Below are 16,661 nucleotides of genomic sequence, written 5' to 3'. Positions count from 1 at the left end.
TGAAACCCTGTCTCTAACAAAAATACAAAAATTAGCTAGGTGTGGTGGCGCATGTACTAGTCCCAGCTACTTGGGAGACTGAGATGGGAGGATCACTTGAACCCAGGAGGTGGAGGTTGCAGTGAGCCAAGACTGCCCCACTGCACTCCAGCCTGTGTGGCAGAGCGAGACTGTGTCTCAAAAAAATAAATAAATAAAATAAAATAAAAAGTTGACACAACTGTCTTCATATCTTACTTTATATTTAGTTCTAGTTATATAAACAGTAATTATAAAATACTTAAAAACCATTTTATACAAATACACAAGATCATGCTTAATCTTAAAATTAGGAAATGAATAAAACAGCAGGCCAGGCGTGGTGGCTCACACCTGTAATCCCAGCACCTTGGGAGGCCAAGGTGGGCTAGCCGGGCATGGTGGCGCATGCCTGTAATTCCAGCTACTTGGGAGGCTGAGGCAGGAGAATTGCTTGAACCCGGGAGGCGGAGGTTTCAGTGAGCCAAGATTGCACCATTGCACTCCAGCTTGGGCAACAAGAGCGAAACTCCGTCTCAAAAAATAAATAAATAAATACAGAGCAAATATCAAAACTCTAATATTTCTACCCCTTTTCTGAATACTCAAATAAGCATGAGCTAGACTGCACAGTCCCACTGTGAACCACGTGGTCCAAGCCTGTGGCACACCTTGGCAACTGGACTCTCTGTGAAGGCTATGCAGGATCTCCTGGTCTTCTTTTGTTTGGTAATGAAACTCTTCAAGGTGTGCTGCTCTATTATTTGCATTCTGGGCCAGCATTAGTTGGATATCACCACAAAGTGTCAAATATTGAGAGAGAAACAACAGCACTTCGGAAAGCATATTGGTGCAGAGGCAGCAATAAGTATCTGTTTAGAAAGGGAGGGAAGAAGAAAAAACACAAATGCAGAAAAAAATTAATGATCATAGGAAATATGAAGAAACTGTGTTACCAGCTGAACGCTTTGTAGCACTGTATCTATTCTGTTTATTTTAGGTCCAACAATACATATTACGGCTTCATGTAGTTCAAAGCAAAGAGATGTTAAACCACTGAGCAGAAACTAAAATAGAAGGTAACACACACAGGATTGGAAACAGTCATTTTAAAATAAAGATTTACTAGAAAAATAGGAGTAAACTTCCACTGTGATTCAGATGCCTTCTCTGTTCTCTCTTCCCAGTGCCTATTAAACATATTCATTTATAGTGGCTTACCATGGCTTTGCAAAGCTAATTTAATGTATCGTAATGCTCTTCCGTATTTCTGAAGACTCATGGCAGCATCGGACAAAACATAATAGGCCTTTGATGACTTGAGAATCAGCTGAAGTTTCATTTTATGTTGCCAAGAGCCAGGGATCATTCCAGATTGACTGGAATAATTGCCCTTCTGAAGGGAGCCCACTGTGACATGGAGAGAAAAAAAAAGACAGCACATTTCATTTGACTGTAAGTCTCATGCACAAAAAATATTTTCTGTTTCTTGATGGAAACACTCTAGACTTAGGTGACAAGACTGGTAAATACTATGCTTTACTGCTTAAATACACTGGAGTGAAATGGCCGTGTTAAAAGACTCTCACTTGGGAGTTCTAAGGCCTTCTGCTTCCCTGACATCGGCAACTCTGTCATTCTCTTCCAGTGTCACTGACATAGCTAACCTCATGAGTGACACCTGTCTCCTTTTTCCAGTCTATGTGTCAACCTGTCAAAGTTTACCTTCCTAAAGCACAGCTTAGATCAGCGTGAAAGCCTGTCCTCAAACATGAAAACGGCTTCTCCCCACTTAGCTAGTTGCATGTTTCTCAGTCTCACTTCCTACTTGTCCATCCTACTACCCATCAGCCAATGTTAAGTTACTGCTTGTCACCTATAAACATGCCTGTTTTTCCTATCTCCCATCTTAGTTTACTGTTTCCTCTACAAGGAATACTCTTTATTTAAAGTCCAGCCCATCGCTACCTTCTTTACTCAACAAATGATCATTTTTCTGCCAAGTACTGTGCCAGGCACTGGAAACTGTGACATGAAGTTATATGGCCTCTATCCTTGATAACATAAACCACAACAAAATATGTTAAGTGTAATTAACAGACAAAGAACAAAATACTGTGGAAAATTTTGCTCTGCAAATAACAAAAACACCCACCCCTTCCCCCAGCCTGAAGGTTTCTCATTTTTTAATCAGCTAGAACACAAGTCTTTCAAGGCAATGAAAGGTACTTAGTCTTCATTATGGTTTAATGTGTGTATGGATTTTTTTCCTCTGCTGATATAAGCATCATCTGTGAGTAAGAGGCATTGTGAGAAACTAAAATTAAGATGAAGTTCTTGTTCACAACCGTGTGTGTGCATGTGTGTGTAAAACCATTTAATGCTGGAACTCTGACATAAGGCAGGCTCACAGGACAAAGTGGTAAGAGAATCAAGTAATTCTGATGGAGAACAGAGGGAAACATGGAGATTCTGAGCTTGAGCAGGATTTTCAACAGGGGAGATGGAGAAGGAGACAGAAAAGGCATTTCAGAAAAAAAGAATGGCAAAAGTCCTGGTGTGATCTCCTTACTGCCTGTAGGCCGAAGCCTGGCATACCAGCAGCACTATATAAATGCTGGGGAAATAAATCTATTCCTCTCCTACCTCCACCATGTTTGTTCAGGAAAAGAAGAAGGGTCCAGAAAGCGCTTCCACTATGATTCAGATGTACTTCAAACATACAGGCTTTCTACACTTTTTTTTTTTTTAAACAATTGAAACTGATTTAAAAGGGGGAAAGAAATAAGGTTGGAAAAAGAAATACAACTTAGGTTAAAATAAGAAATTCACAACTTCTGCTTCGAAGTCCATATATTCTTCATGATGTTATATTCCTGAAGAACTAGATAATTTAAAAGTGACATTTGTAGCTTATTCAAGTACTGTGCAGTAACAACAGCCTACACTTCTATAGTGCTTATTATGTACACTGTTCTGAGCACTTTACATATATTAATCATTTAATCATTTAACAACCCTTTAAAGAAACCATTATTATCGTCTCCATTTTGAAAGAGATAAAAAGTGACTCAAAGAAGTGGAGCAACTTGCCCTCGCAAAGCCAAGATATGAAGTTAGGCAGTCTGGCTAAGTCTGTGGCTCCTACACGATCCAGCGAGAACTCCACCAGGCTGAAGCATTAGTTCCCCACTGTGGGTAACAGGAAGATGCAGGCTCCTTATGCTCTTATTAGAAATGTCCATGAAACATCAAAATTATCCTTTTTATATTTCAAATGAAAGAATACTACCCCTAATTCCAGTTCACAGGATATCTTTTTCTCAATGCCTTTCAATTAATGCCTTAATTGACATAAGTCTGCTGTTGATAAAGAACCAGTGTATTATTCTATTGAAGGCCTTATTTGCACATCAATTCAACTTACTTTTGTCCAAAAACAAGGCCATCTGCTTCTCTAGCCCCTCGGGACCCCCTCTTGAGGATTCATCTTCATATTTTAACGGGATTGGAGTGCTGGGGTCAGCTGCTGGAAGGTCGCTTTCTTTTTTGATGCTGCTATCGACAGATTTTAAACCCTGCAAAAAAAGGAAAAGCATTCACTATCTATCTAACTTCAGGTCAACTGAAAACTAAATATAAGACAGTATCTGGACTACTGAATACGTTTAGGAAAATTTCCATCTCACAAACAGACTTTCAAAAACTATGTTTGATCTGAAAGATTTGGGAAAAACAAATCTGATTTTCACTTTATGCTTAAGGAAAAAAAAATCGCAGCAGAACACAATTCAGAATAACATTTAGATACCAACAAACAAGTGTAATTTGCATAATCAAGTACAAACTTTACGAAAAAAGTGAAGACTAAACTTAAACTTACCTCTAGAACATAGCTAAGCACAAGTCTACAGCGCTCTTCTGTGTCATGGCAAACTGGAAATGCACAACTGGGCTTGAGGAACAAACATAAAATTATTAATACACTACCAATGTATTAAGGTCAACATATTGTTTTTGTTGAAGATTAAATTACTGTAAGCATTATCAACAAAAATCTTGCTTAAAAAGATCCTACAACATATATGTTGCTTTAAGTACTTACAATTTTAAATACAATTCTATTATGACAAAAAAGCAAGAACTAGAGTAGTAATGTTTTAGACAAATATAGACATCATCTAATAGGTCAGCTCCACTCATAATTAGCACCGATACTGGACAAAACACAATTAACAATTAGCGTCAATTTAGAAATAACAAGTATCACCAATATTCTCGTTGTTTAATTTATTTGCTTAATTAAGGAGCAAAAGCAGCTAGCAACCTCCAACTATGAAGGATATTATGTGTAGGGGCTTCTGTGAAGCATTTCATTTCGCTGAATCCCGTGGGGTTGGAATTACTGTTCTCATTGCACAGAAGAGAAGCATGCACAGACAGTTTAGCAATTTGTCTGAGGACACGGTGAGTGAGTGGGGAGCTGGGACCCTGGAGCTCATGCTGACTGTCCATACCACAAAGTCATTCAATGAGGATAAGGAAAGGCTAACTAAAGACATGTTTATATGAATACTAAGACTGCATTTTTTGAGTGCTTCAGATACGGAACAGAAAGTGCTATCTGTGAAAAATAGTGACACTAACTCATTACATCTTTAATTATTACCTAATTGCCCCGTAAGTCCATGGCCTAGTGTTACAATGCAGTTTTCCAGATACATGTAACTTTTGCAATCAATGATTATAACCAGAACATTTTTTCACTCCACTGTGGAAGTTCAAGCTGAAAGTGAACTAAAATTTAGATGGACAGTTAATGACTTTTTCCTGCAGTCATTTAGTCAAATATTTACTGAGCACCCATAATGTGTTCTAGACATGGGAGATAGAGGGTCTGTACCTGCAGGGAGCTTACGTTCTAGTGAAGCAAGACAAACATTAAGAACTTCAGGAACAGATAGGCTCCTTGAAGGACAAAAAAGTAGAGCATGCTTTGGCCAGAGTGGTCAGGGAACATCTCCCTGAAGAGGCAACATTTCAGTCAAGACTTAAGCCTTAAAAAAGGCAGCCATGAACAGACCTAGGGTAGGTACATTCCAAGCAGAAGCAACAGCAAATACAAAGACCCTCCAATGAGCATAATCTTGATGCTTTTGAGAGAAAAAAAACCCAGCATGGCCACGGCAAACCAATGGAGCAAGTGAAGGTCAGAAAGATGGTCAATGTTTTAAGGTGACAGACATAGCCCCTCAAAAACTTGCTTAGAGTTTCCATCTGAAAGTTACACTCAGTGCTTAAATTAAGAGATTATCTGTAAATACGACTGTATTTCAGTTCAGGGAACAGCCAGAACTCTTAAGGCTGGCCTGGATCTAATCATAGGGAGACGGTATGTTGAAAGGTATATACTGCCTGGAGATACACTGATGGTAGAGTCAGTGCAATCCACACAGGGAGAAATCTGTCTGGCCCTCTCCAGGGCAGAGACATGTCCAATACAACAGACATGACCACAAGAGTCACGAAAAAAGTACTGTCCTATATAGCACAGGGATAATGTACCAGAGCTCACCATATACAGTTCCAAGAGCCACCCCCTTCTCTACTCTATGTTCACCAAGCAATCTATATATGTCATTTCCCAGCAACCCCAACACCGGATAGAAGTGCCCTAGTAATGAGACATGACTATGACTACACACTGGTCACTGGAAAGGAAAATCCTTCACATAAGAATAGACAGACACCTGGTTTACACACCTGTCCACTATAGGCTTGCATAATGTGGGTCAGTTACCCTCGAACAATTATAAAACCAACTTTAAGAATTCAGAAAACTAATGATTACTAGATGCTAGACCATGAAAGGTTTATTGAAGTAATGGTATCTTTTGAAAGGCTAACTATATTCGATTAACAATTATGTTTCCTTGATAAAAATTTAATATAAATTCTAAAGGCTTACTCTGATTTGATGAATAGATTTGTATTTTTCTGGTACTGATAGTTCTCCAACAGACTTGATTATAGCTACTGCTTTGCTATCATCTGATGGATCAGAGCTGGTGCTATAGGATCCATTTTCATCACTGTCGGGCATCTCTTCCTCCTCTTCACTATAACTTTCATCAGAATTCTCATTTAAAGGAGATTCTGAATTTTCTTCCTTTTTAGGTTCATCCAATTGAAAAAGTTCTGAAAGCATGTAATTGGCGGAAGCAATAATCTTATGAAAAAGAGAGAAATATGTGTAAATTACTGTCATCAAAAAATACATGAATTTTACTACCATACTAACGAATTTTAGGAGGAGGTCTGCACACAGGCTGTTTCCACCATATAGACTGTAACACACACAGAAATGTTCCCAGTTCAAAGCTACTGATACTCTGGGTATGCTCTGCAAAATCTTTATAGGCTGATGCATTTCCTATTTCCCGAAATTACTCCACCCTGAGCCCTCCCTCTTAAAAGGTGTCAACTGAATTTCACTGGAGACAAACAAAAGCTTTTGAGTACAGAGTGTCATAACTAAAATATTAACAAAAATTTAATACCACCCTATGCCAAGTGAGAAACCAGAATTTTTCTTTACAAACTATAAATTAATTCAAGTTTCTCTATAATAGGTAACTAATATTTATCATATAATCTATGGTTCTAGAAAAAAAAAACCATTACATTAAAAAGGGAAAAGTCCATTCTGATATCTCTTAAAATTAGCATTTATATATGACCATTTAACCCATTCTACTATTTATCAGTTCTTAATCACAGACAATAGTCTTTAACACCATTTCTAACATCCAAATAAACCACTCAAGTTCCACTAAACACTGCCACCTCAGTCAGCAATTAGGTATTTCAGTCAGAAACAAAATGTTTTACTATTTTTCTTCAAAAACATTTCTGAGTTTGGTCTCTAGGATAATCTTTATCTCTAAATCAAATGTGGCTACAATTAAAATTACTTTGGCTCTTCAAAGAAAAATTGCGTATCTTACATACCTTTACTGATTTGAACAGGATACAACAAATAGCCTTAACAGTGAAAAATAAAGTTGTCAATCAGACAACCGAGGGTAAGGATGGTGTAAAACTGTTGGGAGCATGACTGAGGGAATATTTTAAGAGATGCTTTTTCCCCTTCTCTTTAAAAGAAATTTTACTGGCCTTTATTTAAGAGATGCTTTAATATCCTGAAGTGTGGAATGTGAACCCTATTTATATTAACAAAGTGGTAACAAGGTCTAATAGCGACAAAACAAAGAACTAAGGGCACTACTGTTAGAATTACATGAATTCTAAATTCATTGAGCAGTGCTGTCTGAGAGAAATGTAACATGAGTCACATACAGAAATTTTAAATTTTCTAGTAGCTACATTTAAAAAGTAGAATCTGTGAAATCAACTTAAATATATTTAATCCAATATATGTAATATTGCATTTCAACATGTAATAGGTACAGACATCCAATCTTCAAAATTCAGTGTGTATTTTACACTTACAGCACATGTCAATTCAGACAAAGCACATTTTAAGTGATCAACAGCCACATGTGCTAATGGCTACCACACTGAATAGGGCAGTTACGGAATATGAATCAGGAGGCTTTACTGTCTAGGTAACAATCTCCTATTAGAATGCTAGGATTGTTTTAGAGAATACATAAATGTTAATCTTACTTGAGGATGCCTACTTTTGTCCAGTAATTTCAGACAATTAAGAAGCAATGTTCTAATAGTTCCATAGTGTTTCTTATTTTGATTCTTCTTCATCATCATGTTGCAAGCAACCCTAAAAAAAGAGTTTATATCAACTTTACTGCCCATTTCATCGTTGTCTGCAAGACTCAAGTCTAGGAGTGCTCTTGTTTCTTTCCAACAAAGAGCTATAAGAAACAACAAAATACTAAACTTTACACTTTACCCACAACCCCCAAAACGTTTATACTATGGTGGCATAAGAAAGCTGAGTAATATTTGGTACAATGTGTACGTGTATTTTTCCCCCTACTATGAAAACCTAAAAGCATTTAAAAGCCTTGGTTTGGAAACTGTGACTGTATGCTTTAAAACTTTATATAATAGGCTACTTCTTCATCTTAAATTCTTAAAGCACTCACTTGTACAAGAGAATGGCTACCGGCATTGTGAATGGATTTTGGTATTTGTCTTCAGTTTCTTCACAAAGAGTAGTGAGGTCATAGAGCTTCACTATATCGCTGCCACTTGCTGAAAAGAAAAACAAAGAAGACTCATTTCACAGCAGTTACCCAAATCAATTATTGTTCACTCAAGAAGTATTAATAGCTTACCTTTAAAGAGCCAATAGGTATGTCCTTCTTTGGTACAATTAGATTTCAAAAATGATAAAATATTCTGTGCAATGTCTTTTATGACTTTAGTAGAAAAATTAGAATTTTCCAAATTGGGAATTTCTTCTGTCTTTATCATTTCATATTTCTGTAAAATACAGACAGATGGAAAGCAGTTTAAGAGAAAACCCAAGGAAACAACACCTTTCTTTTTAAAAAGCAACCAAATGCAGAAGTCCTGCAAACAGAGACCTATGTAGCATGAAAGTGTTTAAACCAGTGGTTTTTAATCTTTTTTCTGCCCCAGCCTCCCAAAGGAATCTCATCCACCCCATCAGCAAGGGCAGTTCACTATTGGAGTAATTTCAATGGAGAATCACTACCAGATTTAGAACCTCAGATTCAGGCATGATCTTATTTCTGTTCTAACATGGAACAAATCATACTGACTACTTTTATTCCACTTGAATGGTTTTCAACTGGGAAGATGGTAAATGAAGGTAGGCTTTACCCAGCAAGATTTTAAAACACATGTATTTCTGGCCTTTTTTTTTGCTAGAAACTACAGTCAGTGACTCAAGGAGAGAGAATCATTTAGGAAATTTTCCAGTAGACACCTCTCTTCCCTTCATCTATGGACTTTATTACTTCACAGGGATGGAGCAGGGGGGAATGGAGGTGGCAATAAGAGTAAAGGCTTCATGGACATTACTACCACTATTTTAAAAGTGCCTTTGCATTTTTCTTGTTTATCTTCTGTGCACACTCTCCTAACCATCTCCTACCACATTTTCTGAAGTACTCTAAAACTGGAAACTTCAAATCAACTGGAATGTAAGACCAAACACAATCGTCTGAGGTTGATTTTCACCCCACTTTGTTCATGTGAAGTCCCCAATGTTGATTATTTCCTTCCTTAAAATGCTCCTTTCCTGTATTTTAATCTGTGCTATTCTTGTTCTCCTTCTCTCTCTCTAAATGCCCTTCTATTTTTACCCCTATGAGGAGAGGCTCCAATGTCTGATTTTAATAGATTCCTCTGGTGATGAAATCTGACAGTATCTAGGCAGATGATGCTTCAATTTATTTCTCTAATGGCTGCAACTTCAAAATGCTCACTAGACATTTTTATACTTTCCTCAAACTGAACATGTGACAAAAACATATTACCTTCCCTGTCTAAACCAATTCAACATCCTTATCTCACTAAATGGCACCACCATTATTCTAGTCCCTAAACCCTGGAATCTCCTTTGACTCCTGTTCCCCTCCGCCTTGCTAACGCTTTATCTGCCTCTCTCTTTTCTCTTGCTCCCCACTCCCACCCCAGCCTCTCACTAAATGTTGCCATTTAGGGAGATGGTCTAACAGTGGTTTTCAATCAAGACTGCAAACCAGAATCATACAGCAGACTTTCAGAAAAGACAGAAGTACACATCCTACTGATACTAGAACACTGGGGGCCCAAGCAAGTGCATTTTTTCAGAGACCACAAGTGATTCTGATGCACAACCAGGTTAAGAATCACTGGGTTGGAATATAACGGTTCAAAGCATGTCCTCAGCCAGAGAGAGGCACAAAGACTGGCACCGCCACTCACTACTAAGTTGACCCTGGGCAACTCACTTGAGCTCCTTGATCCTCAGTCTCTCTTTCCATCAAATAGGAATAACAGCATGTGAGGTAGCTAAGAAGATCAAATAAGGTAAAGCATTTAAAGCATTCAGCAAAGTGCTTGGATAAAATAAGCACTCAATAAATGCTATCTATTCTTACCATTGTTGATTCTTAATAGTTCCTCTCTAGTGGAAAGTACATTACACTATCTGCAAAATGGTACAATGCCTCTGGTTTTCTTGTCTCTAAGTCCTCCTTTTCTGTCCTATATGCTATCTCTAAATTAATATTCTAACACAACAAATTTCCCCTCCTAGATGCAAAGCCTTCTGATTCCAGATTACCAACTGAACCAAGTCCATACTCCTTAGCTCAACATTTAAGATCTCCATCATTTGACCATGACTTTTCCAACCTTACTTGCAGCTATTCTGCTACATAAATCCTGTGTTCCCTAGCTGGATTTATTATCAATCCTTTCATGTATTTACACTAGACTTTTAAAATCCAGCTCTTATTTTTTGAGATACTAGCTATCATTCAGGACTCAGTTAAGATGTCCCTTCTTCCACAAAGTCTTTCCTCCAGACCTGAATGGAAGTGCTCACCCCCTTCTCTGATGATCTAGATTTCTGTGTGCTACACTTCTAATTCTTATCTGTCTCCTACTGTTCTCTCTGCATATTATTTCCCATTAGATTATCTCTTTCTGAATAACAACCAAGCTTATTCTTTGTTTTCCTTCAACAATTATTTATTGTTTAAATTCTCAATTTTTTTATTTTTTTGAGACAGGGTCTTGCTCTGTCACTCATACTGGAGTGCAGTGGCACGATCATAGCTCACTGCAGCCTCAAACTCCTGGGCTCAAGTGATCCTCCTGCTTCAAGCCCCCAAGTAGCTGGGACTACAGACATGTACCACCATGCCCAACTAAGTGTGTGCGTTGTTTTTCTACAATTAGGGTCTCACTACGTTGCCCAGGTTGGTCTTGAACTCTCGGCTTCAAGTGATCCTGCTGCCTCAGTCTCCTGAGTAGCTTGGGATTACAGGAATAAGCCAACACGCCTAGCTTCCCCCAACACTTATAATGGGGATACGTGTCTTCTAAACAGAATATGCTCAATAAGAATTTGCTATATAAGCTATCCACCATATGCAATTTTTACAAGACCTTTCCCTAAAACTTTGCATGTACTGAGTAGATATTTGCATAACGAAGAAACGCCTCCATTGTGTAGACACTTTCAGTTAATTATTAATGAGAGCTTGGCATTAAAATTAGAGTTCTATGGCTACAAATGCAGGTTTTCATATATTTATGAACTTCCTCCAAATTACCTGTAAAATTATACTTCTATAACATCTACAATTCTGTTATCACCAACTTAAATGTACACTCAAATTCAGTTTATTCACAGCTATCTTCCCTGGCAAAAATGCACCTTAGTACTTCAGGGCCGTAAAGACTTTGGTGAGGAACTCTCTGTACCAATTTGCATTTGAGAGATCAGAAAAATCACACTGTATCTTACCTGTACAATTCCATTTACATGAAAACACATCACAAGCTCTGGCACATTGCATATCAAGTTGTCCAACCAATAGTCAATTCCAGTTAGCACATTAATTGGTTTGTTGTTATCCCTAAAAATATACATTTCTAGTGTTATTTGGTTTAATTAAGATGTTCCTTAATTAATCATCTGAAAGTTATTTCACCATTTAAGTATCTTAAGCTGTCCTCTCTAGATAGAAAATGCCATCTATGCTTTCTTTTCTGATAAGATATGCACATGCAGCTCAGTGGTTGTGCTATATTTAACATCTTTCCAAAAGCTTGCTTGTATTTCTAACTGACATTGGTAAGTTTTCAGTAAGAATAGAAGACAATATAATAGGAAAGGACGGTGAGCCTACTGCCTGCTCCTCACACACAACTTGAAGAAAGACTGAACACCATACAAGACCATGCTTAAGTTGGAATTCACATTGGCTAATATCAACAAATACACGTGGAGCATTAAGAAAAATGCTCACAAGTAGTTAGTAGGAATCTAACTAATTAAATAAACTCTCTTGAATATTCTCACAAGTTGTAGATTCAGACCTAAGACTAGGCCAGTCCAACAAACCTCTGGCTCTATTCAATGAGGTCTAGAATGAAGACTCAGCTATAGGCCTGCCTTTCAGCATCTGCTGACAGTAGCTCCTTCCTTAATGTGGCCATTTCAACTGGCAGGGGAAGGAGGGAGGGGAAAAAACCTAGAGAAAGAGGAAGATGCCCAAATAGATGGAACACTGATTCTTTTTTGAGACGAGTCTTGCTCTTTCGCCTAGGCTGGAGTGCGGTAGCATGATCTTGGCTCACTGCAACCTCAGTCTGATGGAACACTGATTCTAAAGGAAGAATTTAAATACCATAAGCTTGAGGAGGGGTATGATGTTAGTTCACCTGAGACGTAAGCTGACTGCTGGGTATCTGCCTCCTCCAAATATGGGCATGTTGGAGCCGACCAACATATGGATATCTTCAAATGTCCATAGAATATTCCGAACAAAATCATTTTTAAGACCCTGTGATTTAAAATAGGGAGGATTATAATAAACAGTCAATCTGTAATTTCCCCCCATGATCCATAAAAAGACTAGAAAAAGGAAGAGACAAAGAAGACAAAGTCAGGCCCCAGAGCTAAGATCACAAAGATGCTTAGAAAGCAGTTTCAGGATCAAGTGGAGTTTTTCCCTATCAATTTCGACTTAGGCTAGTTTTGAAATGACAAAGTAGACTGGGGATTTGCTGTCACCTTGGACACCATGGAAAGCATACCTGACTGTGCTCCCCGTCATTGAATAAAGTAATCAGGTTTTGTTCTTTGGGGGCTGAGGCCACATGCCCCACTATGTATGAGGGTTCAAGAGGCTCACTTCCCTGTGAAAAGTGCAAGGATAAGGAGTGATTCTGCTGTCAACATTTCTTAAAATTGACCCACTTTTGAGAGTATCACCTAAATATTCAAAGCACACACTTCAAATCTACCATTGTGAATTATTAGGCCAATACAAATAATAACACGCCTCATTGGGTGGCTTGCTTTGGCTAATGATCATAGCTACTATAAGAAGCGAATCACATTTAGATCTTACTCAAGAGAGATAGATTAAAGATTATTCTAAACTTTCTAAGTTTTTCATTTTTCTCTTTTTTGGTGCATCTGATTACCACTGCTCTTTCAGCCTACTCTATCTATATTGAATTTAAAAATTCCTAAGAAACTGGCCAGGCACGATGGCATGTGCTTGTAGTCCAAGCTATGTGGGAGGTCGACAGGGGAGAACTGCTTGAGCCCAGGAGTTCGAATCCAGCCTGGACAACATAATGAGAGTCTGTCTCTTAAAAAAAAGAAACCCTAAGAAATCTTACTCAGCCACAGTTTGAGATACTCATTATCTTAACAGTCTCCAGTTTAGCATTTCCTGATGAGTGTTTCACAGAACACTAGTTCCTGGGAAACTGAATGAAAATTTTCCAGAGTCAGGTTTGAAAGATGACGTTTACCAGGTACTCACTTTTGTGGAGTAACAATATTTATTGATATTAAAACAATAAATATATAATAAGTAATCCTGCAATAGAAAAATCTACTTTATCTTTGTAAAAACCAATGTTTCCCAAATGTATTTAATCTCAGAACACTTTTTGTTCTTAAGATATTCTCTGGAATACTTTTTTTTTTTTTTTTGAGACAGAGTTGCCCAGGCCAGAGTGCAGTGACATGATCTCAGCTCACTGCAACCTCCGCCTCCTGGGTTCAAGCAATTCTCCTACCTCAGCCTCCCGAGTAGCTGGGATTACAGGCACGTGCCACCATGCCCGGCTAATTTTTTTTTCTTTTTTTAAATAGAGATGGGGTTTCGCCATGTTGGCCAGGCTGGTCTCTAACTCCGGGCCTCAAGTGATCCACCCACCTCGGCCTCCCAAAGTGCTGGGATTACAGGCATAAGCCACTGCGCCCAGCCTGGAATGCATTTTGGAATACACTTGGGCCCTCTTGACACTGGGTAAACTCAGCCTACCACTCAATTTTCCAATCATTAGGAAAGTAGTACTGCCATTAAGAAATACTACTTTAAGCTTTTAATGTCATTGCCTCAACAGAACCCAAGACAGGCATGCGTGTGTTGCTTATTCCACAAACATCTGTCTTACTTGTCATCTGTGTGTGCCAGTAGGCTTGGCACCTGCTTGGGAAGAGTGTGTGACTATAAGCACAGGTGGCTCTCTAGCACTTCTATTGTGCCTTGTCCTCTCCCTCAGGAGTCCTAAGAGAACTTTAAACTCTTTTTTATTTTATTATTTGTTTACACAGACAAGTTATCAACTCATGAACCGATTCTCAAAACAGTTTGCCAGGCAGTTGCTTTAGTCAGAGTATGAGCTCTAGGTTACAACGTTCTCAATAAATGTCTGGCTCTAGGACCATCCCACAGTCACCTATTTAACCTCTATAACTGCTTAACAAAGGCCTCAAGCCAGCAGTTTTAGTTTTTGGAACAAGAATTTGTGCAGAGATAGCTTGCAAATATAAACAAATCTCTAAAGCTGAAATTTAAGCAATATAAGAAAAGTACTCTGTAAGAGACTCTTAAGGCAGGCTAGCTGTGCCTAGGGATACACCACTACTACGATGATCTGACTGTTAGTAGGGCCTTGCTGTGTGTGGAGTACACGGACACAGTGGAGTACTGCTGGAGGAACAGGCCTCTGCAGGCAGAAAGATCTGGGTTTAAGCCCTAGCCTGAGAGTTTCGCCAGCTGTATGACCATGTGAAACATCTTTTGATGAGCGTTAGTTTACTTATTTGTACAATACGCAGCTCCAAGAATGAAAAAAAAAACCTTGTACAAACATACACATGGCATAAGAGCTATTCAGTAAATGCCAGCTTGCTTCCTCAACACGCAAGTCTACAGATTCCCGACTCTCCAAGAGTTTTCACAGTAATTCCTAAACAAGGTAAAGACAGAACAACACTGGGAGATGGGTGACATGGGTAATAGGAGGGTAGTATTTGTATTATGTAGTCTTTTCTCCCTTCTGAATCATAGAACATCCCTACTTCTTGGTTGTTACCACTATGTGACTTGCATATTAATTACTTCCTTTTCCTTACATTTTTCTCACTTTTGAAAGAAATTTAAATTCATTATGGAGTTTTATGGGATGCTTTCTCTATCTTAAACCTACTGAAACTAAAATCGAGTTAAATGTATCTGCTCCCTGTAATTTGTGAAGATTGAAACAATCTGGTTGAATAGTGCTCAATATGTGGGAACACAACAGCAAGAGGGAAGACGTAACTTATCAAGTCACAGATCTTATTATCTATTTATCAATCTATTTTCCTGAAAATAGACATGTCACAATTTACATCTATGGCTTTATTTTATTCTTTGATAGATACAGTAAGTACAAAAATAAACAAGCATTAGGAAGAAACAAGGATGTAAGAGATAAAATGGACAACCTAGTTCATTCTCTTTTCTAAAACTTTTATAACATGAATGTGGACTAAGTTTCAGGAATTTTATCTGGAAAACCTTAAAGGGATATTTTAGGTCTAACAATCTGACTGAAAGTTATGGTAAAAAGGTTAGAACTTAAATTACAAATGGGTCTCTGAGTCTCAATATTTGGTAGGAAATGTCTATCAAATATTGACAGATATTTATAGTTAAAATAGTATTTATAGTTAAAAATGACTAGTATTTATAATTAAAATATACTATATCTCTATATAATACTCATCACTTGAAGGAGATAATCAGTATTAATAAACATATCAGTCAACTATTATATTTCGATTTAATAAAAAAATCTGATCTCCCCACCTATAATAGCTCTTGTAAATTCTATTGCGAAAAACTAAAAAGTATTTCTCCAATTCCATAAATTGACAGAAGTCTTTTTTCCCCCATTCCATAAGCTGACAGAATATTTCTTAGTCCTGTTCATCTTTTTTTTTTTTTAACGAGATGTTAAAAAAGGCTTTGTTTTCCTATGTGAGTTTCTAGAATTAGCATTTAAGTACTAACCTGACTGGAAGCACTGGGATCTTCAGAAACTGAAGAAGGCATTTCGAAGGGAGCAGGCCATGAAGCCCCTTCCGAATCATTTGTCTGATCTGAACTGGACGATTCCTGCTGTTCTGCGGTGGATGAGACAGGCTGAGCGGCTCCATCACCATTGATACTGGCCAAACCAGAAATAAAAAAGGATTGCTGTTACTAAAGTTAACTTCATGCAACAGTCTACCCGTTTATAAAAACTACAATCTGTAATTAAGCATACATCTTGTAAAAAAGAAATATGAAACAAATGTTAACAGTATCACAGGGGCAAAACTTAAATTATAACTTCATTAAGCTTCACACTAAATTTTAGATCAGAATTCCCTTTTTCTCTTTAGAGATAAATAAGTAGCCAAGTACCTGTAATATAAAAACTTGGAAAGAATTGCCTTTTGATACCAGTGCTCTTTGCTCTTTTTCTTCCTCTGCCACTTCTGATCAATGAGTCTTTGATAAAACTCTTTCAACCATGTCCAGTCACCAGTCTGGATAACATGAGATACATATTATTAATACAACACACATAGTCGAAACAATGTTACCTAGTACTAGCTTACAGAAAAGGCTCCTATT

General features: G+C 37.8%; 1 protein-coding gene across 11 annotated transcripts in view; it reads right to left on the bottom strand.

Annotated features, from left to right (window-relative positions):
- The window catches only part of EDRF1 (erythroid differentiation regulatory factor 1), a 44,431-nt gene that overhangs the window by 22,249 nt on the left and 5,521 nt on the right, over positions 1 to 16,661 (bottom strand). For 5 of the 11 annotated variants that reach the window (NR_110858.2, NM_001202438.2, XM_047425035.1 and 2 more), the window contains exons 5-17: positions 16,449 to 16,573; positions 16,053 to 16,209; positions 12,787 to 12,888; positions 12,412 to 12,533; positions 11,492 to 11,603; positions 8,340 to 8,487; positions 8,148 to 8,256; positions 7,708 to 7,819; positions 5,987 to 6,247; positions 3,902 to 3,973; positions 3,446 to 3,596; positions 1,240 to 1,428; positions 690 to 890 (exon numbers count right to left, since the gene is read on the bottom strand). Coding sequence is in view for 8 of the 11 variants with exons in the window: in NM_001202438.2 (NP_001189367.1) it covers positions 690 to 890; positions 1,240 to 1,428; positions 3,446 to 3,596; positions 3,902 to 3,973; positions 5,987 to 6,247; positions 7,708 to 7,819; positions 8,148 to 8,256; positions 8,340 to 8,487; positions 11,492 to 11,603; positions 12,412 to 12,533; positions 12,787 to 12,888; positions 16,053 to 16,209; positions 16,449 to 16,573 (1,861 nt within the window). In the remaining 3 variants the exon portion in view is untranslated. Of the gene's footprint in view, positions 1 to 689; positions 891 to 1,239; positions 1,429 to 3,445; positions 3,597 to 3,901; positions 3,974 to 5,986; positions 6,248 to 7,707; positions 7,820 to 8,147; positions 8,257 to 8,339; positions 8,488 to 9,965; positions 10,027 to 11,491; positions 11,620 to 12,411; positions 12,534 to 12,786; positions 12,889 to 16,052; positions 16,210 to 16,448; positions 16,574 to 16,661 lie in introns of those variants that run through there. The other 6 variants (NM_015608.3, XM_047425037.1, XM_047425040.1 and 3 more) reach the window with 4 other exon arrangements.

The sequence above is a fragment of the Homo sapiens genome, chromosome 10, assembly GCF_000001405.40.
Source record: "Homo sapiens chromosome 10, GRCh38.p14 Primary Assembly".
In the NCBI taxonomy this organism is placed as follows: Eukaryota; Metazoa; Chordata; class Mammalia; order Primates; family Hominidae; genus Homo; species Homo sapiens.
Note: the sequence above shows the minus strand (reverse complement) of the source record. Positions and strands in the feature narration are given on the sequence as shown.